Genomic DNA, 24,706 nt, shown 5'->3' with positions numbered 1-24,706 from the left:
CCCGCTGCCCAGCATTCAGCTTCTCCCACTGCAGCTTCTCGGGAGTTTGGTGGCACAGAGTCCCAAGCAGAGTCTCTTGTCCCTCCTGTTCCCCAGGGACAAGTAACAATTCACCAAGCACAAAGCTTCACGGTTTCCCAGCAGCCCCACGCTCTGCCTCCTTGGACCTCACTTCACAGAGGGCAGTGACTCGGCCACTGCAAAGTGCATCCCAGAAGCCCTCACTCCTCGACCACCCATGGCCTCCACACCCAGCCCCACCCAGCCCCAGCCAAGGCCCCAGCACTGCTCCTCAGTAGACCTGCTTCCTCTAGGGAAGTGGCAGCCAGGCCTCTCCACCCACCTGGGCCTCCCTGTGGGAGGTGGTGCAGACGCGGCCATCTCAGGCCAGAGCCAGCTCTCAAGCTCTGGCTTCTATACCCTAGGCCAAGGCCTTCGTTTACAGGTGACCAAACTGAGGCCCAGAGAGGTTAGGTGTCTTGCCCAAGAACACACAGCAGCAAGATCAAGCACGCTCTCCGCCCAACCCCCGTGCATATGGGGCTTAGGTTAGAAGCACAGCCCATTGGTCCAAACCCACCTCTACCACGCAGCAACCTGTGGCTCTGTGCCAGGGCTTCCTCCTGCGTGAAATGCAGCTAACAAGAGCACCTACCTCCAGTTGGTACGAAAATAAATCATGTCTCATGCTTAGAGGGCTGTCTGGCCCTGAGCAGGACATGCTGTCCGAATCTTGCTATTTACTGCACATTTGACAGCAAAAAGAGAAGTCTCATCATGACTTTGAGTTTATTGCTGATATTTCTCTCACAAAACCCCCCTTAGAGGAGGGTTATCAGGAAGGCAGAAAGGCTGCAATGTTTATGAGCATAGCCTTGGGGGCAAAGCCACCCACGTGCAAATCCCAGCTCTGCTCGGGAACGAACTGGGGACTTAGGCAAGTGGCACTGCCTCCCGGTGCCTCAGTTTCCTCATCTGTAAAATGGGGTGAAGCTGTGTGCTCTGCAGACTTGGTTGAGACAATTCGTGTGAAACACTCAGCGCAGGCCTGCTGTGCAGAATGAGTGATTTCTATTACTATTATTAATGTTTTTGATAGGCCGGTACTTCCTGCCTTTCCTGTGTAACCACAGGGGACTTTAATCACTGGGCTTAAACATAATCACAACCCTAGGTTATAACTCAAACACCAAACAATCAGAACAGTAGCCCTGTAGACGGGACTGTCATTAGTGGCGAATTACCAGCCCAAAGTGTCCGCCCAGGCCTCTGCCACATGCCGAGATACCAAAGGCAAAACAACAGGGCTTTCTCCAATTAGGGAAACACGCATTTTCTTTTTTCTTTCTTTCTTTTTTTTTTTTTTTTTGAGATGGAGTTTCGCTCTTGTTGCCCAGGCTGGAGTGCAATGGCGCGATCTCAGCTCACCCCAACCTCTGCCTCCCGGGTTCAAGCGATTCTCCTGCCCCAGCCTCCCAAGTAGCTGGGATGACAGACATGCGCCAACACGCCCGGCTAATTTTTTGTATTTTTAGTAGACGTGGGGATTTCTCCATGTTGGTCAGGCTGGTCTTGAATTCCCGACCTCAGGTGATCTGCCCGCCTCGGCCTCCCAAAGTGTTGGGATTACAGGCGTGAGCCAGCGCGCCCGGCGAAACCCACATTTTCTTGCGCCACCTCTGTCTCTAAGAGTCTGAGTGACCTGCCTCTAAGTTCTCAAGTTAAACTATTACATATCCCCAGCAGCCAAGGGCTCCAAGCAGGTGACAGGCTGGCCTGGGCCCCACCCGCTGGGCTGGGTTAGGCCTGTGACACTCTGTTCACATAACTGTCCCCTTGGGAGATCCAGGCCTCCTCTCAGACCCCCCAGCCACACCTGACGGTGGAAGACTTGAACTTTTACTCCTTTACAAGCAGTATTTTTCAGGACCATTGCTGTGCCACCAAAAGGCAAAGAAAAGGCAGATCTAAACCCACCGTGGTGCCAAAGAGACCCCAAGCCAGCCTGTGGGATGCCCAAACCAGAGGCCTTCGAAAGCACTGTGAGTGGTCCACTTGGCCTCGGAGGCGCCCAGCAGATGACCATCTCCAAGCCAGGCAAGAGACGCTGCTTCCCAGCGAGCACCCTCTGCCTTCTGCCTGTTACTCACTAAACCCGGCCACAGCTTCTCTCCCTCAATTCACTGTCAATTTCTGTCGGAGCAGGGATGCTCTGCCACACACCCCAACACTGTCCCTGCTGCCCCGGGCTTTCTGCAGAGACAGTCTCCTTACCCCTAAAGAGGCCAGGCAGCAGCCTCTTGGGCCGCCTTGCAGGGGAGGAGGCAGGAACTCAGGCAGGGGGTGACCAGGCCACCCAGCCAGTCCCTGGTGTCTTCCCTCCCAGCCAGCACACGCCCACACCAACAGGAGCTCTGTAAATACCCAAGTCCCCACCATGGCCACTAGGCAGGAGACCCCAAACCTGACACACAGAAGCCCACATACAGGGACGCCTCCCCAGCTCCCCGAGATGGGGCAGCCTCCTAAAATGAGCCCCTGGCCGGAGCCCTGTCATGACAGGACTGGAACCCCAATGCCAAATAAACCCCAGTAGATTCGGCTACCGGAGAGAAATACCCAAACAGAGAAACATGGGGAGATGGAAGGGGGCTTCATGTGGCCCCCAGGGAGGGGAGGGGGCACACGGATGGCACAATCACTAACACAGATCACATCATGGGACTATCGGGGCCCCAGGTTCTCCCATAACAGGAAAGTCACCAGGACCCGTCAAGTGGGGTGCTGCTGTTTCTGTAACATGTCTAACATTGCTCTGATACTCCTTCCAAAGAGAAAACAGGCTTCAGGCTGGCAGCCCTCCCTGGCAGCAGAGGCTCACTAGGCTCCAATAACACTTTCTTTTCATTGAGCCTGAACCACTATTCTATTCTATTCTACAGCAGAAATGGTGATTCAGGAAAACCGGCTCTGATTCTCCTCCCTCGTTTTCCAGTTGGTGAAGGTGAAGCCTGGGAGAGCGGAGAGCAAAGATCACCTAACGCCGGCGCCGGGCTCCACAGATAAGAGGAGGGTACTAAGGGGAAGGCCTGGAAGGCTGGTGGTTTGGAGAGAGACCACCTGGTTCTTTCCCAGTGAAGGGTCCTCCACCTCCCTCAGCAGGAGACCCAGAATAAACAGCCTCCCAGGGCTATGTGGAAACACACCACAACTTGGAGACTTTCCCGTGCTCTCCAGAGTGCAAGACAGACATCACCGGACAGGCCCCGCCTGCCCCCAGGCTGCATGGCTGGGACAGCCGCACTCCACGCATCAGCCATAGGGGCAGCTGAGAGGAAAGAGCAGCAGAGCAGAGGGCTGGTGGCTCACTGAGACCCCAGGTGCCCAATTTCCCAGGCTCCAGGACCAAGCTGCATCTCCCTGTGAGCCCAGCACGGTGAGGACTGTGGGGCTTCGAGGTCTGCCCCGGGACCACAAAGTGCTGCAGAAGGGTCCACATGGCTGCCAAGGCAGGAGCAAGGCAAGACAGGCAGGGCCCCTTTCCTGGACCAGGCAGGGGTCTTCGGAAGGGTGTGCAGCAGGAAGGAGGGGCAGGGTTACTGAGGTCACTCATCTGGGGAGTCCCAGCTAACAACAGGGGAACGTGGTTTCACCCCAGCACGGGGCAGAGGCAGCAACTGAACACACACCCTGGCCAGACTGTGCATCCCCAAATGGGCCTGGGACACAAAAGTCAGGAAGACAGACTTCAGACTTCAGGCTCAGCCACAGCGCCCGGGGCAGAGGCCATGACTGACCTCCTAAACCCATTTTGAACCCCAACCCAGGGCGAGCCCAGCCTGAGGAGGCCCACATCACCCCATTCGATCCTCTTACCTGCCCCTGCCCACTTGCTAGTGAGGAAACTGAGGCCCAGGAGGCTCACTACCTTGCCCAAGGTCACAGAGCAGGAGGGTGAGGGAGGCAAGTCCCAGACTCCTCTCTCGAGTGCTGCCCTCGACTTCTGAGGCAACAGAGCCCTGACCCTGACCTCCCTCCCAGGCCCAGCACCAGGGCAGGGCTGCACTGGGCTGGGACTCAGGCACCTCCTTTTTGGCATGTAGGAGAGACACCTCTGAATTTTCTTCCTAACCCACACAAGGCAGGCAAGAAGGGAACCCCATCCTGCAAAAGGTCTCCCCCAAACCGAATCTTTCCTACCTCAGGAGATGCAGGGTTGACAATAGCCGAAAAAGTGGACTTGGCTCTGGGGGAGTCACACTCAGGTCCCTGGCCCCGGGGCACTGCTGCACCTTCTGCCACACAGCCAACAGGGCAGGGGCACCAGCCCACCCGGCTGAGAACAAACTGGCTCTCCTCCCTCCCTTGTCCAGGACCTGGCAGGGGTGCAGGTCCTGCTCTAGACATGTGGGGCCTCGGGCCGGGGTTGCCACACTGCACCCCACGTTCTGGCAGGCGCACGGGCCTGGGCTACAGCCAAGGTGCCAGCCCGCCCCAGCAGAGCCCCATGAGCTCAACATCCCGAACAAAGGGAGAGAAGACAGGGCAGAAAGTGGGGTGCACGGAGGGGACAAGCGCCCACAACTTTTTGGAGAGGTCGTCTGTAGGGAAGCAGGGGCTGGGGCGCCCTCCTCCTCTCCCGTCCCACCCGGGAGTGGATCGGCAGGACGACATTGGCGGGCCCGGGCCGATACCGTCCCCCTCCAGTGGCCCAGCGTCGGTGACCCCCGGTCCGGCGACCCCCACCCCAGTCCGGGCCCCGCAACCCCGGGATGTCCTCGTCTCCCCCAGCCGGCGGGCAGAACCCGGACCTGCGGCCGCAGGTGCCCGCGGGGAGCAGCCGTGACGCGCGGGACCCGGGGGCGTGTGCGGGGCGCGCCCGCGCAGGGCCCTGCTCGGAGGGTCGCCGGCTCGGGCCCGGGCGGCGGCGGCGGCGGCGGGGAGAGCGCGGCCGAGTGAGCTGGGTCGCGAGCCGCCAGCCCAAAAGGGAGAGTGGTCGCGGGGCAACCAGGTCGGGGTAGGTGGGTGTCCGCGCGCGCCGCTTACCCTGAGCGGATATCGGGGCCAACTCTCATCCACCCGCCGCGGCGCCCCCCTCGCCGGCCGCCCGGCCGCGCTACGCCTGCCGCCCGCCCGGGAGCCCAGCGGCGCCGGGGAGCCGGGAGGAGGCGGCCCCGCGGGTCCCGGCCACGAGCGCGGAGGCGGCGGCGGCGCCAGGTCGCGCGCTCGCGTCCCGCTGCGCGGAGTCTGCGCGCCCCCGGCCCCGTTGCGCAGCCGCCGCCCCGCCCCGCGCCGCACCTTAAAGGGGCCGCGCCCCGCGCGCCACCCCGGCCCCGCCCCCGCCCCGCGGCCGGCTCGGGGGTCCGCGGGGGCGCGCCTGCCCTGGCGGGTCCGCGTGCGCCAGCTCGGTCACGCGGCGCGGCCTTTGTTTGGGTGGCCACGTGCGCCCCCGCCGCTCGCACCCACGCGCACGCGCGGCCGCCGCCGGCCACGGCCACGCCGTCCGCGCGCTTGCCACGGCGGACGCCACGGGCTCACCCGCGGGAGCACGCTCGCTGCTGTGGCCTCGCCCGCGCCCCGCGGGACCGCCCGCCTTTCTAGAGATGGGTCAGGGACTGGGCTGCCGGTGGAAACCCGCGTCCCGGGTGGAAATGCCTTTCCTCGACCGCCTCGCGGGGCGCCGGACGCGGCCCCACGCCGGGGCTGGACCTGCAGCCCGCGCTGTACGGGACGCAGCACGAACCCCGCTAGACTCGCGCAGTACCTGGCGCGCCCATCCCAAGGTGCCCGGGGTGCTGTCTGTCCCCAGGATCTGGACCTCTGGGCCCACCCTTTCTCTGAATCTCACCCACACCCCTGCATCTCCCCAGGCACTACCTGCGGGGCAGGACACCCGTAGAGGGGACCCACTCTAAGCCCACCTATCCCCGGGTTTTGGACCCTCTAGAAAAACCACCCACCACCCCGCTTTAAGGCTGTCTAGCTCACAGGAGACTGCTCAGTGAAGGGGCAGAGGGGATCACCCTGCAGAACCCTAGGTTTAGGGGACACGCTTTAGTGTCTTACCCAGGAGGATGGTTGCGAGGAGTTGGGGTGGGAGGGTGGAGGAGAACCGGAGTGGAGAAAATAGACAAGGCCTGGAGGCTGTTTTTGCCCAGCCCTCTCTGCCTCCCCCTCCCCAGACTGGGTCCCCTGTGCTCTGCCCCGCCCTTCCTGTGTCTCTTGCCTGCCCCAGTGCCCTGCCCTCAACTCACTGACCTTGGGAGTCCCACAGGCATCTCCAACCTTTCAATCCAAAGACTCCAGACCTGGATCCGCCCTCCCCACTTCCTTCTGTCTCAAGGGCCCCAGCTCAAGTGCACCTGAAGCTCCCTGTGGCAAGATTCAGGGCCTCTCTTTGATCCCCCTCCAGGTCTAGCCCTGATGGACCTGGGTTAGAGGCAGGCACTCAGGTGAGCTGTACTTCTCCAAGGCTCAGGTTCCTGTCTGCAGAACTGGGGACCCAGTGATTTCAGGGTAAAGGATCCAGCGCTTCCGCAAGGGCTGCCCAGTGGCGTCTGTCCTGTGCCTCCGCAGGCAGCATGGGGTGCGATGGCGCGCTGTCTGCAGGACCGTCTCTTTCCAGGATGGCGGAGATGACTCACATTTGTGCCCAGAGCCCCCATCCAGCACCAGGCCTGACCGCCAGACCTCTCTGGCTCCCCCTCCCCGCTGTCCAAACCCTCCAGGCTTTCCTGCCTTATCTCTGTCCTCCAGGGAAACAGGATTTGTTTTTCCCAAACACAAGCTCTACTTTCCTGCCTACCGCTCCCTACTCTGGCCATATCCTCCCAGGGGTACCTGCCCTACACTAACTCTACCCAGCCTGCCAGGCCCAGCTCCAGAGCTGCCCACTCCAGGAAGCCCTGAGCCAGCCTGGTCAGAAATGAACCCGGACTCCACCTGCCAAGGCTCTGGGGGAGGGGGGGGGCCCTTAGGGCACCTCCTGCCCCAGCACTGTGACCACATTTTAATCGTTTTCATTGTTGATTGTGCTCCTTCCTGTCTCCTCTCTCCACTCTCCCTGACAGCCCAGGTGAGCTGCTCCTGGGAGCAAAGGCCCAGAGCTTTCCTGTGCGAGTCCCTCGCTGCTGTCCCCACATTTCAAGACCTTGGCCAGGCTGTGTCATTGTCCGGGTCATTTTGTACACAAATGACTCACCTCAGCCAAGCCCCAAAGGCAACCTGTTTGTGCGGATGCAGCAGTGGCAGTCTCTCTGCCAGCAGGACACCTGCTGCTTCTCACCTCTCATCTCCGAACCTCTCTGCTTCTCCCAGTGGAGAAAAAGCCTCCATCCTCACAGCAGCGATCCCAAAGAGAGACCCCCTCCTGCCCCACACCCCTCCACCAAGTCTCCTGGAAGGATTCTCATCGCCCTGCTTGGTCATGTGCCACGCTTGAGCCAAGGGGACTGCGGGGGCAGAGGCCAGGGTGCTGTGACTGGCAGTGCCATCTGAACCACTGGGGCTGAGGCAGGCAGTACCCCAACAGAAAAGGGGCTGCAGCAGACAGCGCGACACAGAGCAAGCGCCCAAGAAATGTTCATTTTGTGAACGGCCAGGATTAGGAGTGAGCAGGCAGAAGCCAAAGGGAAACCAGACGAGGGCACCCAGCATGCCTAGCCCCTCATATCTGGCCCACCCTCCAGACATTTGCTCGGTGCCCAGTCCCTGCTTGGTAGGGGCGCAAAACTGGTGCAGTGCAGAGAGTCAGACAGAGCCCCTGCCTGATGGACAGGCACGGACCACACACCCCACAAAGGGGGACACTTGATATTGCGTGGTGCCCACCACCCTGCTCCGTGGCTCTTCACAGCCATCCTATTAGCCCATTTACAGAGCAGCGTTTATGGCTGAATTGTGTCCCCCAAAAAATTCATCTGTTGAAGTCCTAACTCCCATACCTCCCAATGAGACTGCATTTGGAGACAGGGTTCTTAAAGAGGCGATGAAGGTAAATGAGGCCCTGAGGGTGGGCCCTAACCCAACAGCACATGTGTCCTCATAAAAGGAGGAGATGGGGACACGGACACACACAGGGGGGATTGCATGAGGACACGGAGAGAAGGCGGCATCTGCACTCCCAGGAGTGAGGCCTCAGGAGGAACCAGCCCTGCAGACGCATTGATCTCAGACTTTCAATCTCTGGAAGCATGAGGAAATGAAGTTCTGTTGTGTAAGCCGCCTGTCTGTGGTGTTGGTTACACCAGCCCTGGCAAACTCACACGAGGGCACAGGCTCAGAGTGGCCGCCAGACCCTAAGGGTCACATAGCTGGTGATGGCAAGGCCACCGCCAGCTCCCTGCTCCTCTGCTCAAAGCAGAACTGGACACAGGGATGGCGGGGCAGGGCTGCTCCGAGTGGGCACGGCGGAGCCCTGAGCTTGGTGGGTGGCCTGGGAAGGAGGCTTGGAGCCTGCTCACACCAGGGGCCAGCGGGGCCCTCAGACCCGTGCCTCCCGGCCTCAGAGCCTTGAGGGAAATCGGGGGCAAGATGACAGGACTCGAGAGGAACCAGTGACAAGTGGTAGCAGGGCTCTCCATATAGCCTGACACCCCCGCACTGTCCACTGGCTCCTCAAGGCCATCCTGTTATGTTTGTCTGTGGCCAAAGGCATGGAAATAAGTCGATGAGAAGCAGGGGTGTGTCAGGGGCAGGCCAATCCGAGTTCATATCCCAGCCCCCCCTCACCTTCTGAGACGGGACCTGGAACCAAGCAGGTGCACCTGGAAGGTTCGTACCTTGGCATGTAGTATCCAGGCTGTCACTCCACATGCACAAAACCGCATATTTTATTACACAGGACGCCAAGGCACAGAGGGCTCAGGAACCTGCCCGGGGCCACCGAGGAGAGGTGGGAAGGAAGCACTCCAAGCCCCGGGGTGTGCAAACTCTGGGTTCCAGGCCGTTCCCCACATCACCTCGTCGCCACCCCCCAGAGATGGCAGCACCTGGCACCAAATGGCACTGGGAAGTGCCGGCGGTTGCTATTTTCATCCTGATTAGGGGAGAAGGGGTGGGGCCAGGGCTAGGGAGGAAGGCCCCTGGATCTGGAGCAGTGAGAGGTTTGGGCGAAGAGTCCCAGGCTGGGAGTTGGGGTTCCTATAGGAGACTGAACAGAGCAGCAGCTGGTGGCTCTCAGCTCTGGGCCAGAGATGGCAGCGTCCCAGCCAGAGAGCTGAGGGGCCCAGTCCCACTCCTCAACAGTCAGGGCTCCCAGGAGGCGGCCTCACTCTCACCTTTGCTACCACTCCTGGCACCGGGTTGCTGCCAGGAATCAGTGGGAAGGTGGTGCTTCCTTAGCCCCTCCTGTGCTGACACCTGCCTCCCACCCCTGAAAATTCCAGGAGCTAGAAGTGTTTTAGCTCCAGATGCATCTGGGTCCTTGTGCCCTGGCATGGGAGGGTCAGCGGGCAGTCCACCCCCAGTCTCCCCTGCTACAGGCATGTGGGAGGCACCCCATAAGGGTCATGGCTGGGAGAAGGGATCCAGGACAACCTCATCTTTTTTATTTTATTTTATTTTTGAGACGAAGTCTTGCTCTGTCACCGAGGCTGCAGTGCAGTGGCTCAATCTTGGCTCACTGCAACCTCTGCCTTTGAGTGATTCTCCTGCCTCAGCCTCCCCAGTAGCTGGGACCACAGGCGTGTGCCACCATGCATGCCTGGCTAATTTTTGTATTTTTAATAAAGACGGGGTTTGGGTTTCACCATATTGGCCAGGCTGATCTCGAACTCCTGACCTCAGGTGATCCACCCGCCTCGGCCTCCCAAATGGCTGAGATTACAGGCCTGAGCCACCGTGCCTGGCCAACCTCATCATTTTTAGAGAATCGAACTGAGGCTGAGAGCACCCCAGGGACGAACTTATCCTGACCTCTCCTTGGTGCCAAGCCCTATGCTGTGGACGTGTGTCAAGGAGGAACACTCAAGAAGGTCCCCTGGCCTTCTTATCCAACAGAGAGGCAGAGCCAGGCAGGCAATGAAGTCACAGTGTGGTCAGTGATGAGACAGAGAGCCACAGAAGGCTGAGGAGGCTTCCTGGAGGCCATGATACTCTAAGAGAGGCCAAGGAGTGACCAGAGGTTAACTAGGATAAGATAGTAGGAAGAGGATTCCAGGCAGAGGGAACAGCATATACAAAGGCCTGGTGGGAAGAGAGAGAGCTCCACTTGTTCTGTTTAGCTGGGAAAAAGCAGGAGCTGCCATGAAGGACAGCCCATATCCCAGGGCAGGAAGGAGCCATGGCCGGGTCTCAAGCAGGAACAACAGGATCCCATCAGTGCTCTTCTGGGTATAGACTGGAGGCCTCTGGGTGATAAGCAGGTGGGAGGGGGTGCTGTGCTTTGAATATTTGTGTTCTATGTAAAATGTTTATCTAGAAACAGAGTGCTCATTCCCCAGTGCTGCAAAGAAACAGCACTCAAACATAAATTTAATTATCTCAGCAAGGCCATTTTTACTTTCTGCAGAAAGGGTGCTCATCGCAGATGGAACAATGGCGACAGCACACCTGAACAAAGGAGGGAAGCAATTTTTATCCCTTACGCGTTTGTCCCTGTTACTGTGTCCTGTCTCCGTTGGCTGCAGCCAGACCTCACAATCTAAACTAAAACCCGATTGGCTAACAGTTTAAAACTTTTCTAAAAAGGTAAAAGTAATGGAAAGACAAAGGAAAAGAGGAAGTTGCTTATGCCAAATAGGGAAGGGGCATAGGCTGCAAGCGGGAGCATGCCTGTGAGCAGGTACAGCACAAATATCTTGGTTAAGGTTCCAGGACATAGAATGTACTATGTTGACTGTGAGCATGTTTAGCAGCTACATAGGCTAGGGCTTAACAAAGAGTTATTAGCACAAAGCAAGGAGGCTTGAAGGAAGTTAGTTTTTCAAAGAAACTATTATTTTTAACACTTATGATTTATTTAACAAGAAGGGAAACTTTGAAGAGGAATTTTTACTTTCTACATTTGTCACCTCCAAAACTCATGTTGAAATTTAGTCCTCGGCTGGGCGAGGTGGCTCCTGCCTGTAATCCTAGTGCTTTGGGAGGCTGAGATGGGAGGATCTCTTGAGGCCAAGAGTTGGAGGCTGCAATGAGCCAAGATTGTGCCACTGCACTCCAGCCTGGGCAACAGAGTGAGATCCTGTCTTAAAAAAAAATTAATCTCCAACATGGGGAGTATTGAGAGGTGGGGCCATAAAGAGGTGATTGGATCATGTGGGCTCTGCCCTCATAAATGGACTAATCCATTCATGGCTTAATGGATTCATGGGTTAAGGGATTAATGGGTTATCATGGGGGAGGGGGGAACTGGTGGCTTAATAAGAAGGGGGAGAGACACCTGAGCTAGCTCGCTAGGCCTCTCAGGCCCCTTGCCGTGTGCTGCCCTGTGCTGTCTCGGGACTCTGCAGAGGCTCGCCTGGCCAACAGGAAGGCCCTCCCCAGATTTGCCCCTCGGCCTTGCACTTCTCAGCCTTCATAACTGTAATAAATAAATTCCTTTTCTTTATAAACTACCCAGTTTCCGGAATTCTGTTATAAGCAGCAGAAAACCTACTGAGACAGGGATCTGAGCAGCTCTTACAGAGCTCTTCCCACCACCAGAGGTGTGGAGGGGTGTGGAAAGCAAGCCCCTCCCCACACTGTGGCTGTTGTTCCCGGGAGAAAGGCCACTGCAGGGCTGTGGCAGGGCAGGGTGAGGACCTGAAGAGCAGCTGAGCTGGGGGAGGGAGCTCTGGGCACAGGGCAGGTGGGCATGGGCAGGCCAGGAGGTCCCTGGGTTCTCTGCCTGCCACGGAGATCACGCAGCCCCCATGTGGTCAGTGAGGGGCGCCCAGGAGCTGGCACACTGACCTCGAAACCCAGCTCTGGAAAGATGGGGAAGATGCAGGGACAGAGAAGGGAGCCCAGGGGCCAGGACTGCTTGGGGCCTGGGCTCCGGGCCATGCCGTGGAGCAGCACCCTGGATCCCCTCCTGCGAAAATGGCACTGGAATCTTCTAAGGCCCCAAGGCCAAACCCAGGCCTTTGGCAGAACCCAGTTTCCCAGGTTTTGGGATAAAGCACAGACTCCTGCAAGGCCTGCATCATCAGACCCGACGGACATCCAGCCTCAATCCCGGTGTCCCCCGCCAGGCCCTAGGCTAGGGGAGCCCTGGCGCAGGCACAGTGCAGTTACAGACACAGAACACGGGGGATTCAGCCTTGCTCCCGCCTGACCTGGGAAGGAGGCAGTGGGGCATTACTGTGCCCATTCCACAGACGGAAAAGCTGAGTCCTGAGAGGTAATGTGTTTGGACCAGCATCACACAGCTAGTTCAAGGCCCAACCAGGATACCCTATGAGCCCACAGCAACCATGTCCCTGACACCACCAGCATGAAAAGACAGGGACAGTGACAGAGCGATGCAGCCACAGGGCAAAGAGATGGCCTGGGGGCTTGGAGGAGCTGGAGGAGACACACACAGCCAGGTGTGTGAGGGTGCAAGTGTGAGAGTGCCCGCTCCTCGGTGGAAAACACGCGGGACAGCAGCGTTTGGGAGGAGGGGATGACGCAGGTTAGGAGTGGCTCGTGAGAAAGGTCCTAGGACAGAGCAACACCCGCCAAGCCAGAGCAGGGACCGGGAGCGGAGCGGGTGGCCCAGCAGCGAGAAGCCATCACAGTGGAAGAAGGGCAAAGACTCCACAACCAGCTCAATGTCCGCCAGCAGGCACCTGTGATCTTGGGGTCAAGGAGCCAGCCCTGCACACACTGAGAGGATCCCTCGCCAGGGATGAAGACAGGTTCAGCACCCTGAGCCACCTGCCCAGAGGTCTACCCTTCATCTGCTGCGGATCCCAGTCTGTCCTGTCCCCTCCTCTCCTAAACCACCCTGGGCCCCCTGAGCCCCTACTGGGGCCTCCCACAGCCTCTCAGCACTCGGCCTCCCTCCCACCATCCCCTTCACTTCTTTGTGCTAACAGAGCTTCCCGGCAGGGCCCTCCTGTGGGTCTCCCTGATCCCCGCGCCCCTCAAACCCCTGGGCCTGCAGGTGCAGGACGCCTGGCCCTGCTCCCTGCCACTGCTTCCAGGCCATCCTCCCTCCCCAGCCTCTGCAGGAGCCTCCTCACTGGACTCCCTGTTTCTTTTCTGCACAGGCCCCCTCACCCCGCCCACTTTCCTCTCCCTGGGGGCCACCCTCTTGCTTCTCTGCGCAGGGCCTACTGCTCACCTATGGGCTTGTAGCCCTCCCTGTGATCCCGGGGAGCCCCTGCTGTCCCTCCTGCCCGGCCCACTTGTCCCTCCAACGTCTGCATCACTCCATCCCTCAGCCTCCTCAAGTCTTTGCTCAAGGACCACCTTTGCTCTGGGATCCACCCCGACGACCTGCTTTAAAATCACTCCTGTATCCACCATGGCAATCTTCCTCTGCTATTTTCTATTTCTTTCTAGCACTGTGCATTTTTGTTTGTTTGTTTTGTTTTTGTTTGTTTTTTTGAGATGGAGTTTCACTCTTGTTGCCCAGGCTGGAGGGCAATGGTGCAATCCTGGCTCACTGCAACCTCATCCTTGTGTTTCCTTGATTTAAAAATGCCACTGGGTGTGAGATGCTCCACCAACTTAACACCTGTTTCCAGGAAGACCTGAGACGCTGCAGCCATGCACACCCTCGTTGTAAGTTGCATCAGCATCCCAGGCCCACATCAGTGTCGGGGTGGTGAGGAGGGAGCATGGAGGTAATGGAAGAAGTGGAGGACTTCTCCTGCTGTGACTCTCCAGGGGGGTTGTCCCTGCAGTTCGCAGGGCTTTGCCAGGCCCCAGGGAAGTGGCAGAGGGCATGCTCCTGCCGCCAGCTTGGGATGGGGATTGCAGCGTGGAACTTGGGGTTCTGGCTTCTGAGGGTAACTGGTTATGCCACCTTTTGGCAGCAGGTGACAGCACAGCACTGGGACGGAGGAGTGGGTTAGTTATCATGAGAGTGGGTTATCATGGGAGTGGGTTAGTTATCATGGGCATGGGTTAGTTATCTTGGGAGTGGGTTAGTTATGAGAGAGGGTTAGTTATCATGAGAGAGGCCTAGTTATCATGGGTGTGGGTTAGCTATCTTGGGAGTGGGTTAGTTATCATGAGAGTAGGTTAGTTATCATGGGTGTGGGTTAGTTATCTTGGGAGTGGGTTAGTTATCTTTGGAGTGGGTTAGTTATGAGAGTGGGTTAGTTATCATGACAGTGGGTTAGTTATGGATGCGGGTTAGTTATCTTGGGAGTGGGTTAGTTACCATGGGAGTGGGTTTCTTATCATGGGAGTGGGTTACTTATCATGGGAGTGGGTTAGTTATCTTGGGAGTGGGTTAGTTATCATAGGAGGGGTTCATTATCATGGGAGTGGGTAGTTATCTTGGGAGTGGGTTAGTTACCATGGGAGTGGGTTAGTTATCATAGGAGGGGTTCATTATCATGGGAGTGGGTTAGTTATAGCTATGAAAGTGGGTTAGTTATCATGGGTGTGGGTTAGTTATCTTGGGAGTGGGTTAGTTATGAGAGTGGGTTAGGGGAGTGGGTTAGTTATCTTGGGAGTGGGTTAGTTATCTTGGGAGTGGGTTAGTTATCATGGGAGTGGGTTAGTTATCTTGGGAGTGGGTTAGTTATAGTTATGAGAGTGGGTTAGTTGTCATGGGAGTGGGTTAGTTATCTTGGGGGTGGGTTAATTATAGTTATGAGAGTGGGTTAGTTATCATGAGAGTGGGTTAGTTATCACGGGAGTGGGTTCATTATCATGGAAGTGGGTTTATAATCATGGGAGTGGGTTAGTTATCTTGGGAGTGGTTTAGTTATCTTGGGAGTGGGTTAGTTATCATGGGAGTGGGTTAGTAATCTTGGGAGTGGGTTCGTTATCTTGGGAGTGGGTTAGTTATCATGGAAGTGGGTTAGTTATCATGGGAGTGGATTAGTTATCTTGGGAGTGGGTTAGTTATCATGGGAGTGGGTTCGTTATCTTGGGAGTGGGTTAGTTATCTTGGGAGTGGGTTCGTTATCATGGGAGTGGGTTAGTTATCTTGGGAGTGGGTTAGTTATCTTGGGAGTGGGTTAGTTATCATGGGAGTGGGTTCGTTATCATGGGAGTGGGTTAGTTATCATGGGAGTGGATTAGTTATCTTGGGAGTAGGTTAGTTATCATGGGAGTGGGTTCGTTATCTTGGGAGTGGGTTAGTTATCTTGGGAGTGGGTTAGTTATCATGGGAGTGGGTTAGTTATCTTGGGAGTGGGTTCGTTATCTTGGGAGTGGGTTAGTTGTCATGGGAGTGGGTTCGTTATCATGGGAGTGGGTTAGTTATCATGGGAGTGGATTAGTTATCTTGGGAGTGGGTTAGTTATCATGGGAGTGGGTTCGTTATCTTGGGAGTGGGTTCGTTATCTTGGGAGTGGGTTAGTTATCATGGGAGTGGGTTCGTTATGGGCGTGGGTTAGTTATCTTGGGAGTGGGTTAGTTATCATGAGAGTGGGTTAGTTATGAGAGTGGGTTAGTTATCATGGGAGTGGGTTAGTTATCTTGGGAGTGGGTTAGTTATCTTGGGAGTGGGTTAGCTATGAGAGTGGGTTAGTTATCTTGGGAGTGGGTTAGTTATCTTGGGAGTGGGTTAGTTATCATGGGAGTGGGTTCGTTATGAGAGTGGGTTAGTTATCTTGGGAGTGGGTTAGTTATCTTGGGAGTGGGTTCCTGATAAAAGAATGGGTTCAGTGCACACTCTCTTGCCCTTCTGCCTTCTTCCATGGGGTGTTGCACGAAGAAGGCTCTCCCTAGATCCTGGCACCTTGCTCTTGGACTTCCAGCCTCCAGAGCTATGAGCCAAATAAGCTTCCATTGTTTATAAATTACCCAGTCTCAGATACTCTGTGATAACAGCACAAAAGGGACTAAGACATCATCTAATGTACTTTATTTATTTATTTATTAAGACAGAGTCTGGCTCTGTCACCCAGGCTGGAGTGTAGTGGTGTGATCTTGGCTCACTGCAACCTCCACCTCCTGAGTTCAAGCGATTCTCCTGCCTCAGCCTCCTGAGTAGCTGGGATTACAGATGCAAGCTACCACGCTGGGCTAATTTTTGTATTTTTAGTAGAGACAGGGTTTCACCGTGTTGGCCAGGCTGGTCTCGAACTCCTGACCTCGAATGATCTGCCCACCTCGGTCTCCCAAAGTGCTGAGATTACAGGCGTCAGCCACTGCACCCGGCCACTAATGTACTTTAACAAAAACAACAAAAAATAGATATAGTCTTGCTGTGTTGTCCAGGCTGGAATGCAGTGGCTATTCACGAATGTAGTGGCTATTGATGGGTATGGGCAAGGCCTATACTGCGCCCGGCCTATATAAGCCGGGCACGGTGGCTCACGCCTGTAATCCCAACACTTAGGGAGGCCCAGGCGGGCAGACCACCTGAGGTCAGGAGATCAAGACCAGCTTGGCCCAACATGGCAAAACCCTGTCTCTACTAAAAATACAGAAGTTATCCTGGCGTGATGGCACACGCCTGTAGTCCCGGTTATTCGGGAGACTGAGGCAGGAGAATCGCTTGAACCCTGGAGGTGGAGTTTGCGGTGAGCTGAGATCGTGCCACTGCACTCTAGCCTGGGTGATAGAGCGATACTGTGTCTCAATAAATAAATAAAATTTTTATCTATATAAAAGACAATGAAAAATTAATGTTATTCTATGCAGCCAATAGTTACTTAGATTTACCCATGTTTAAACATTTACTGTCTTAGCCATTTTGAGGTAACATGAAGTACATTCTCATTGTTGGGATGCTGATATAGTTTGGATGTTGTCCTTTCCAGATCTCGGGTTAAAATTTGATCCTCAGTGTTGGAGGTGGGGCCTGGCGGGAGGTGTTTGTATCATGAGGGCGGACCCCTCATGAACGGCTTGGTGCTTGCGTTAACAGTGAGTTCTGCCTTTATTAGTTCCCGCGAGGGTTGGTTGTTAAAGAGAGCCTGGAACCTCCTTTCCCCCTCTCCTCCCTCCTTCCTCTCTCCATGGGATGCCTGCTACCCTTCCCCTTCTGCTATGAGTGGAAGCTTCCTGAGGCCTCACCAGAAGCAGATGCTGGTGCCACGCTTCTTTGTACCAGCCTGAAGAACTATGAGCCAAATAACCATCTTTTCTTTTCTTTTCTTTCCTTTCCTTTCCTTTTCTTTTCTCTTCTTTTCTTTTCTTTTCCAGACGGAGTTTTGCTCCTGTTGCCCAGGCTGGAGTGCAATGGCGCGATTTCGGCTCACCGCAAACTCTGCCTTCCGGGTTCAAATGATTCTCCTGCCTCAGCCTCCCAAGTAGCTGGGATTACAGGCATGTGCCACCATGCCTGGCTAATTTTGTATGTTTAGTAGAGACAGTTTCTCCATGTTGGTCAGACTGGTCTCGAACTCCTGACCTCAGGTGATCTGCCTGCCTCAGTCTCCCAAAGTGCTGGGATTACAAGTGTGAGCCACTGTGCCTGGCTACCACCTTTTCTTTATAAATTACCTATCCTCGGGTATTTCTTTCTAGCAATGCAGCAAATTAAGACAGGTACCAGCCCCACCATCCATCTCCAGGACTGTCTTGGGCAGGACCTGTGTCACCTCCGCTGGCCTCTGTAATCAGCATCTGCACGGTGGGCCTTGGATTGATGTCACTCTCTCCCTTTAGATTCCCCTCTTGGAAGGAAAGGCACCAAGGGCCTGCCCCCCTCTCTGCTCAGGATCCTCCAGACAGCTGGCCTCCAGGCCACCCACCCTGAGGCTGACCTCCGGCCAGCTGGGGCCCTGCTGCGCCCCCAGGCTCCTCCTCTGTGGTCAGATGGTTTTCACTTCTTTGGCCTGATTCAGGGGCTGGTGGGCGGGGCAGTGGCTCACACTGGGTTCACCTGTTAAAGTGCAGGGGTAGGGGTAGCTCCCCAAAAGGAGAAGCAACAAAGATGGACACACAGCAAAGCTGTGGGCGTGTCTGCCACAGGCCAGTGTCCCTGGATGCCTTGGGTGGGGTGGGGCTGAGGCAGGCAGCCTGCCAGGCCAGAAAGCATGAGGCCCTGGCCCTGGGCTTGTGTCCCTAGGGATGCAGTGAGCACAGACCTCCCTAGAGGGGGGCCTGGCCCGCCAGAAGCCCAGCCCCGGCCCCTGCCACCAGCCTGTCCTTCCTCAATTCCTAGCTCCAGCCAGATCCCCAGAGATGAGCGACCCTGATGACCAGCAAGGGCAGGCCCGCCCTCCTTCATCTCCCTCCTCTCACCCGGCCCAGCCCGGAGGAGGAGTGTGGTGTGAGTGTAGCCGCAAATCCAGTCAGCTCCCCTGGGCTGAAGCCCCAGAAATGCTGCTCCAGGACCCAGGCAGCTCCAGTCTGCCCCACGTGGCTTCCAGGGGCACAGCCCTCGGCACAGAAGGCTGTAGGTGTGGCCTGCAGCACGGGGTGGAGGCTGGGAAGGGCCTGGGGGACCCAAGGGACGGATCAAGGCCTGTTCAGAGCCAGACTCCAACCACCTGCTCCCAAGCCAGCCCTCAGGCCCTGCTCTGCAATGGGTTCGGTTGCCCTGTGTTCGCCTTCCGGGCCCCAGCCCAGGTAGGAGGATGCTGGCACACCTGCTGGCTACAGGCGGCCCTTCCTTCTCCTCAGGCGAGGAGGTGCCCACTCTGAGCTGTGCAGCCGGGAGCCAGGGTGAGCTGAGCCCCCACCTGCTGCCCCAGGGAGACCCTGCCACGTCTCTCTTAGCCTAATTTAGCTGTGCGTGAACCTCCCACCTGCCCTGCACTAGCTGGTCCCTAAGCTCACTGGGGCCACCTTGTGGCTGCTCACGGCCTCGGCCCCGCAAGTTGGGGCCTGATTTCCACACTGGCTGCATTTGTCCTCTGTGGACTTTTGTCCTCTGTGCCACCTTCTTGGGTGGCACCCGCCACATGCTGTGCTGAGCTACTTCTTTTTTTTTTTTTTTTTCTGAGGCGGAGTCTTGCTCTGTCGCCCAGGCTGCAGTGCAATGGCGCTATCTCGGATCACTGCAAGCTCCGCCTCCCGGGTTCACGCCATTCTCCTGCCTCAGCCTCCCGAGTAGCTGGGACTACAGGTGCGCGTCACCACGCCCGGCTAATTTTTTGTATTTTTAGTAGAGACGGAGTTTCACCATGTTGGCCAGGCTGGTCTCGAACTCCTGACCTCATGATCTGCCCGCCTCGGCCTCCCAAAGTGCTGGGATTACAGGCATGAGCCACTGCACCTGGCCTGTGCTGAGCTACTTCTAAACCCCACAGAGGGCCAGGTGTGCTGGCTCACACCTGTAATCCCAACACTTTGGGAGGCCAAGGCGGATCACCTGAGGTCAGGAGATCGAGACCAGCCTGGCCAACATGGTGAAACTCCATCTCTACTAAAAATACAAAAAATTAGCCGGGCATGGTGGCAGGCACCTGCAATCCCAGCTACTCGGGAGGCTGAGGTAGGAGAACCACTTGAACCTGGGGGTGGGAGGTTGCAGTGAGCCGAGATCGTGCCACTGCACTCCAGCCTGGGCGACAGAATGAGACTCAGTCCCCCCGCAAGAAAACGAAACACCATGGGGGAAGACGCACATTTTCATGTATAGGCTCTTCCTGTTTCACGTGAGGAGCATCGCAGGATGCATCTGTTCTGACACGAGGGGCACCAGATCGCTGGAGGCAAAAAGAGGGATCCTGAGAGGCCGTCTGGGAAAGAGAGAACTGAAAGACAGTGACAGCAGTGACGATGGCTCACACCTCCTGTGTGCCGGGCACTGTTCTGGGCACTTTATACGAACCAGTGAAGAGAGTGGCTGTCAGTGTGAGAGGAGCTCTGGGGACACGGGGATGTCTCGCAATGGGGCTCCTTCCTCCACCTCCCCATGAAGCCTTTGGTAGACCACACAGCCTCATGTGCCTTCAGATGAGTTTGTGTGGAAGTGGAGTGTGGGGCATGCAGGCCTGAGGGTGAGGGCAATGCCTGTCCCCTTGGGATCACTTCACCCTCACAGGGATGCTGGAGCAGGCCTGGGATCCCCCCATCACACAGAGGGAATGACCAGGGCTCCCAGAGCCGGAGCACAATGTCCAGGCTGTGGCTGCTGAATGACCCAGGCCCTCTGGGGGGGCTGCTCCACCCGCCATGGCCCTCCCAACCTCCCTTGCTTTCCAAGGTCCACCCAAAGCCCCAGGCCTCTCAAGTCTCCTACATCCCCTCTCCCCCTAAGGTCCCAAAGATTTCCCAAGGTCCCTTAGGCCTCTGGAGGTCCCCCAAGGCTCCTCAGGCCCCCAAGGCCCAAAAGATCCTCCAGAGACCCCTCAAGGCCTTCCCAGGCCCCTCAACGATCCCCAGGGCCCCCCAGGTTCCTTAGGCCCTCCTAAAGCCCCACAAGGTCTCCTAGGTCGCCTAAATTCCCAAGACTTCCCAAGGCCCTATGTGGCCCTCAAGACCCCCAGACCTCCCTGCATCCTCAGCCCTCCATGAGACCCTGTCAGCAGCTGCCTCTTCTGGGATGGCCAGGCTGAAGTCCCCAGGGGTGAATCCACCTGTTCAGCTCCTTGCTTCCTGCCACCAGCTATTGGTCCTGGGCTGACCTATGGTGTGGTGCCTTTGGAATCACGTGACCACCAGGCATCGTCACATGTTGTCAAACATGGCTACCTACACCACCATCATAGAAGAGATGGAAGTGAGTTCTTCTGCAGCACCCCAGAGCCGGCCTGCAGTCAGGAAGGCCTCCCCAGAGGCATCCACGAAGCTGCCTGCCAACCTGGGTGCCCCAGGCATGGGCCCCTCTAAGCCTGCCCTAGGAGGAGAACAGTTTGTGTGACACAGGGGGCGGAGGCTGGGTCTGAATCTTTTTTTTTTTTTTTTTGAAACAGAGTTCGCTGTGTCGCCCAGGCTGGAGTGCAGTGGTGCAATCTCACCTCACTGCAACCTCCGCCTCCCGAGTTCAAGCGATTCTCCTGCCTTAGCCTCTCTAGTAGCTGGGATTGCAGGTGTGCACCATCACGCCTGGCTAATTTTTGTATTTTTTAGCAGAGACGGGGTTTCTCCATATTGGGCAGGCTGGTCTGAACTCCTGACCTCAGGTGATTCGCCCACCTCAGCCTCTCAAAATGCTGGGATTACAAGCGTGAGCCACCGCGCCCAGCTGGGTCTGAATCTTTAACAGTTCCCCTCCGCTCCTGGAGCCCCTCCCACAGCCAGCCCTTGCTCACCAGCGGGGGAACCAACAGCCCCTTCCTCACCCTCCTGGGGGTTGGGGTCTCTCTCCACAATACCAGTGCCGGGACGCATCCCTCGTCTTCTCTGCTCCTTTCCGTTGTCCGGAGGCCTAGGCCCAGTCATCCAGCCAGCCTCCACCCAGCTCCTCTCCCTGCACACAAAGACTGACCCCATCAAGCTGCACTTCCTGAAACACACCCACAAACCAGAAACTCAGCCTCCCCTTTGCCCGCAGGATGCCCATGGGCAAAACTGTCACCAAGAGAAGAGAGGAGGGGCCCAAACCGGCTCTGTCTCTGTGGAGAAAGAGCCTGCCTAGGGCTGGACCCTGGTTGTGTGGCTTCAGGTATGAGTCCCTTCCCCTTCCTAGGCCCCAGTCCCCTCACTGCACACCTAGGGTGATGACATGTCATGGCCCAGGGTTAAGAGCACAGACTGGAGTGGGACTCCCTGGGCTTTACTTCTGGCTCTGCTGCACACTGGCTGTGTGACTCTGAATGAGTAACCTAGCCTCTCTGTGCCCGAGTTTCCTTGTCTGTTAATAGGGATCAAACAGAATATAACATCAAGGTCATTAAGAAGAGTCAGTAAATTAATGTTTATAAAGTATTTATTATTTTTATTTTATTTTATTAATTTTTTTAGATAGAGTCTCACTCTGTCACCCAGGCTGGAGTGCAGTGGTACAATCTCGGCTCACTGCAATCTCTGCCTCCTGGATTCAAGTTGAGTGTCATGCCTCAGCCTACTGAGTAGCTGGGATTACAGGCCCTGCCACCACACCCAGCTAATTTTTTATATTTTTGGTAGAGATAGGGTTTCACCATGTTGGCCAGGCTGATCTCGAACTCCTGACCTCAAGTCATCCGCACGCCTTGCCCTCCCAAAGTGCTGGGGTTACAGGTATGAGCCACTGCGCCCAGCCAGAATTATTATTTTTTTTTCTTGCTGATTTGAGTCCCTTGTAGATTCTGCGTATTAGTCCTTTGTCAGATGCATAGTTTGCAAACATTTTCTCCCATTCTCTAAGTTGTCTGTTTACTTTCATGATTATTTCTTCTGCTGTGTAGAAGCTTTCTAGTTTAAGTAGGTCCTGTTTATTTTTGTTTTTGTTGCATTTGCCTTTGGAGCCTTCGTTATAAATATTTAGCCTAGGCCAATGTCCATAAGAGTTTTTCCTAGGGTTCCTTCTAGAATTTTTATGATTTCAGGACTTAGGTTTAAGTATTTAACCCATTGTGAGTTAATTTTTGTATATGGTGAGAAAGAGGGATCCAGCTCCATTCTTCCACATGTGGCTATCCAATTTTCCCAGCACCATTTATTGAATAGAATGTCATTTCCCCAGTTTATGTTTTTGCATACTTTGTGGAAGATCAGTTGGCTGTAAGTGGCTTTATTTCTGGATTCTCTATTCTGTTCTATTGGTCTATATATCTACCTTGATACAGTGCTTGGTACCAGTAGACACTTCCTTGATACTGTCTTGATTACTACATCCTTATAGTATAATTTGAAGTTGGGTAAGGTGATGCCTCCAGATTTGTTTTTTGCTTGGGATTGCTTTGGCTATTCAGGTTCTTTTTTGATGCCATATGAATTTTAAGGTTGTTTTTTCTAATTCTGTGAAGAATGATGTTGGTATTTTGGTTGGAATTGCAGTGACTCTGTAGATTGCTTTGGGCAGTATGGTTACTTTCACAATATTGATTGTTCTAGTCCACGAACATGGGATGTATTGCCATGTGTTTTTGTCATCTATGATTTCTTTCAGCAGTGTTTTATAGTTCTCTTTGTAGAGATCGCTCACCTCCTTGGTTAAGTATATTCCTAAGCATTTTATTTTTTGTGTCTAGGTACTGTAAAAGGGATTGAGTTCAAACTCCTGACCTCAGGTGATCCATCCGCCCCAGCCTCCCAAAGTGCTGGGATTACAGGCGTGGACCAACCTGGTGAAACTCCATCTCTACTAAAAATACAAAAATTAGCCAGGCATGGTGGCGGGTGCCTGTAATCCGAGCTACTCAGGAGGCAGAGGCAGGAGAACTGCTGAACCTGGGAGGCAGAGGTTGCAGTGAGCCGAGATCGCGCCATTGCACTCCAGCCTGGGCAACAAGAGCGAGACTCCATCTCAAAGGTAAAAAAAAAAAAAAAGGGATTGAGTTCTTGTGATTGTCAGCTTGATCATTGCTGGAGTATGGCAATGCTACTGATTTGTGTACATTGATTTTGTAACTTGAGACTTTACTTAATTTATTTATCAAATCTAGGAGTCTTTTGGAGTAATCTTTGGCGTTTTCTAGGTATAAGATCGTATCGTTGGCAAACAGATATAGTTTGACTTCCTCTTTTCCAATTTGGATGCCCTTTCTTTCTTTCTCTGGCCTGATTTCTCTGGCTAGGACTTACCCTATCAGGTGTTCTTGCCAGGTCCTCACTAGGCCCTGAGTAGACAGAGATGAACCAAAGGAAAATACAACATACCTACAAGTAACCACCTCCCACGGCAGCTTGGGGTCCTGGTTCAAAGGGTTGTTAGAGGCAGGATGGAACATTTATGCCTTGGGTGATCAGGGAAGGGTTCTTGGAGGAGAGGGCATTTAAGCTGGGCATGGGAGCCTGGGCTGGTAGTGACACAGGCACAGGGCACAGAGACCCGTGCAGCCCACTGATCAGCTGATTGATCTGCACGAGACTGAACATGGGTGGGTGCCAAGTCAGCTGGCATCAAGAAGCTGAAACGACTTTGTTATAGAGCTGAGAGCAGATTCTCAAGCCCACTTGGTTTGGTGCCCTGCACATTGCACCTGCCTGGCAACATGACAGGGGTGGCCATGGCACTGGCCATGCTGGGGGCCAGGGAGGGACAGGATGGGCTGGTGACCTCCCGACACAGCTCCTCTCACAAACCTCAGTGGATCCTGAGGTTGGAGGTCCTGACACCAACATGGCACATGAAATAAGACCCTTGGAGGCTGGCCTGCCCCACCCTATGCAGTGCTTCCGAGTTGTCCCCTCTTTAGGCCTCCTGTTCCTGCCAAACCCTGAGGTCCTCAGAAGCCTCTGCTAAGAGCTGACCTGGGAGCCCAGGGCCTGCCTGGGCAGAGACTGTGCCCAGGAGCCAGTGAGCTGCCCTGACTCCTGGGAAGGCAGCCAGCACCTGCACCAGCCTGCCCGGGCGCACCTCTTCCCTCCAGCTAACTCTGGTGCAGCTATCAAGACCCAGCCTGGTTATCACCTCCCATAAGAAGCCTCACTGACCCCTAGGCTGGGCCAGGTCCTCCCATGGGTTCTCCAGCCTTGGGATTTCCCTCTGTTTCAGGGACAGAGCAAGGAGTTATACGTAACAGAAAAAAACAGCTCAGACCAGCTCAAACAGAAAAGGAAATCTATTAACTTCTGTAACATTATGTCCAGGGTATTTTCAGAAAACTTGGATCCAGGGCTCAACGGGGGC

The 24,706-nt window shown here is 55.5% G+C and overlaps 1 protein-coding gene across 8 annotated transcripts in view, besides 5 other annotated features; it reads right to left on the bottom strand.

The window, feature by feature from the left end:
• Window positions 1-6,593, bottom strand: part of GRAMD4 (GRAM domain containing 4) — a 107,013-nt gene extending 100,420 nt beyond the window's left edge. For 3 of the 8 annotated variants that reach the window (NM_001366660.1, XM_005261396.4, XM_047441206.1), the window contains exon 1: window positions 5,047-5,249. In NM_001366660.1, coding sequence (NP_001353589.1) covers window positions 5,047-5,075 — 29 coding nt within the window. In that variant the 5' untranslated portion in view covers window positions 5,076-5,249. Of the gene's footprint in view, window positions 1-5,046; window positions 5,250-6,066; window positions 6,213-6,258 lie in introns of those variants that run through there. The other 5 variants (XM_006724169.2, XM_047441210.1, XM_011530012.2 and 2 more) reach the window with 5 other exon arrangements.
• Window positions 410-489: an enhancer, noted in NCBI's record as "active region_19241". NCBI's record gives its function as "activates an Ori minimal core promoter by ATAC-STARR-seq in GM12878 lymphoblastoid cells {active_cell/tissue: GM12878}" and the evidence as "EXISTENCE:reporter gene assay evidence [ECO:0000049][PMID:35858748]".
• Window positions 5,090-5,289: a silencer, noted in NCBI's record as "silent region_13912". NCBI's record gives its function as "represses an Ori minimal core promoter by ATAC-STARR-seq in GM12878 lymphoblastoid cells {active_cell/tissue: GM12878}" and the evidence as "EXISTENCE:reporter gene assay evidence [ECO:0000049][PMID:35858748]".
• Window positions 18,112-18,281: an enhancer, noted in NCBI's record as "active region_19240". NCBI's record gives its function as "activates an Ori minimal core promoter by ATAC-STARR-seq in GM12878 lymphoblastoid cells {active_cell/tissue: GM12878}" and the evidence as "EXISTENCE:reporter gene assay evidence [ECO:0000049][PMID:35858748]".
• Window positions 18,271-18,565: an enhancer, noted in NCBI's record as "tiled region #8687; HepG2 Activating DNase unmatched - State 1:Tss, and K562 Activating DNase unmatched - State 5:Enh". NCBI's record gives its function as "activates a minimal TATA promoter and a strong SV40 promoter by Sharpr-MPRA in HepG2 and K562 cells {active_cell/tissue: HepG2 | K562}" and the evidence as "EXISTENCE:reporter gene assay evidence [ECO:0000049][PMID:27701403]".
• Window positions 20,004-20,755: an enhancer, noted in NCBI's record as "H3K4me1 hESC enhancer chr22:46957479-46958230 (GRCh37/hg19 assembly coordinates)". NCBI's record gives its function as "activates a minimal SCP1, AML or CMV promoter by ChIP-STARR-seq in naive H9 embryonic stem cells {active_cell/tissue: H9 hESC(naive)}" and the evidence as "EXISTENCE:reporter gene assay evidence [ECO:0000049][PMID:30033119]".

This window comes from Homo sapiens, chromosome 22 (assembly GCF_000001405.40).
Source record: "Homo sapiens chromosome 22, GRCh38.p14 Primary Assembly".
In the NCBI taxonomy this organism is placed as follows: domain Eukaryota; kingdom Metazoa; phylum Chordata; class Mammalia; order Primates; family Hominidae; genus Homo; species Homo sapiens.
The sequence above is the reverse complement of the archived record's forward strand: the minus strand, read 5'-3'. Positions and strand labels throughout refer to the sequence as shown.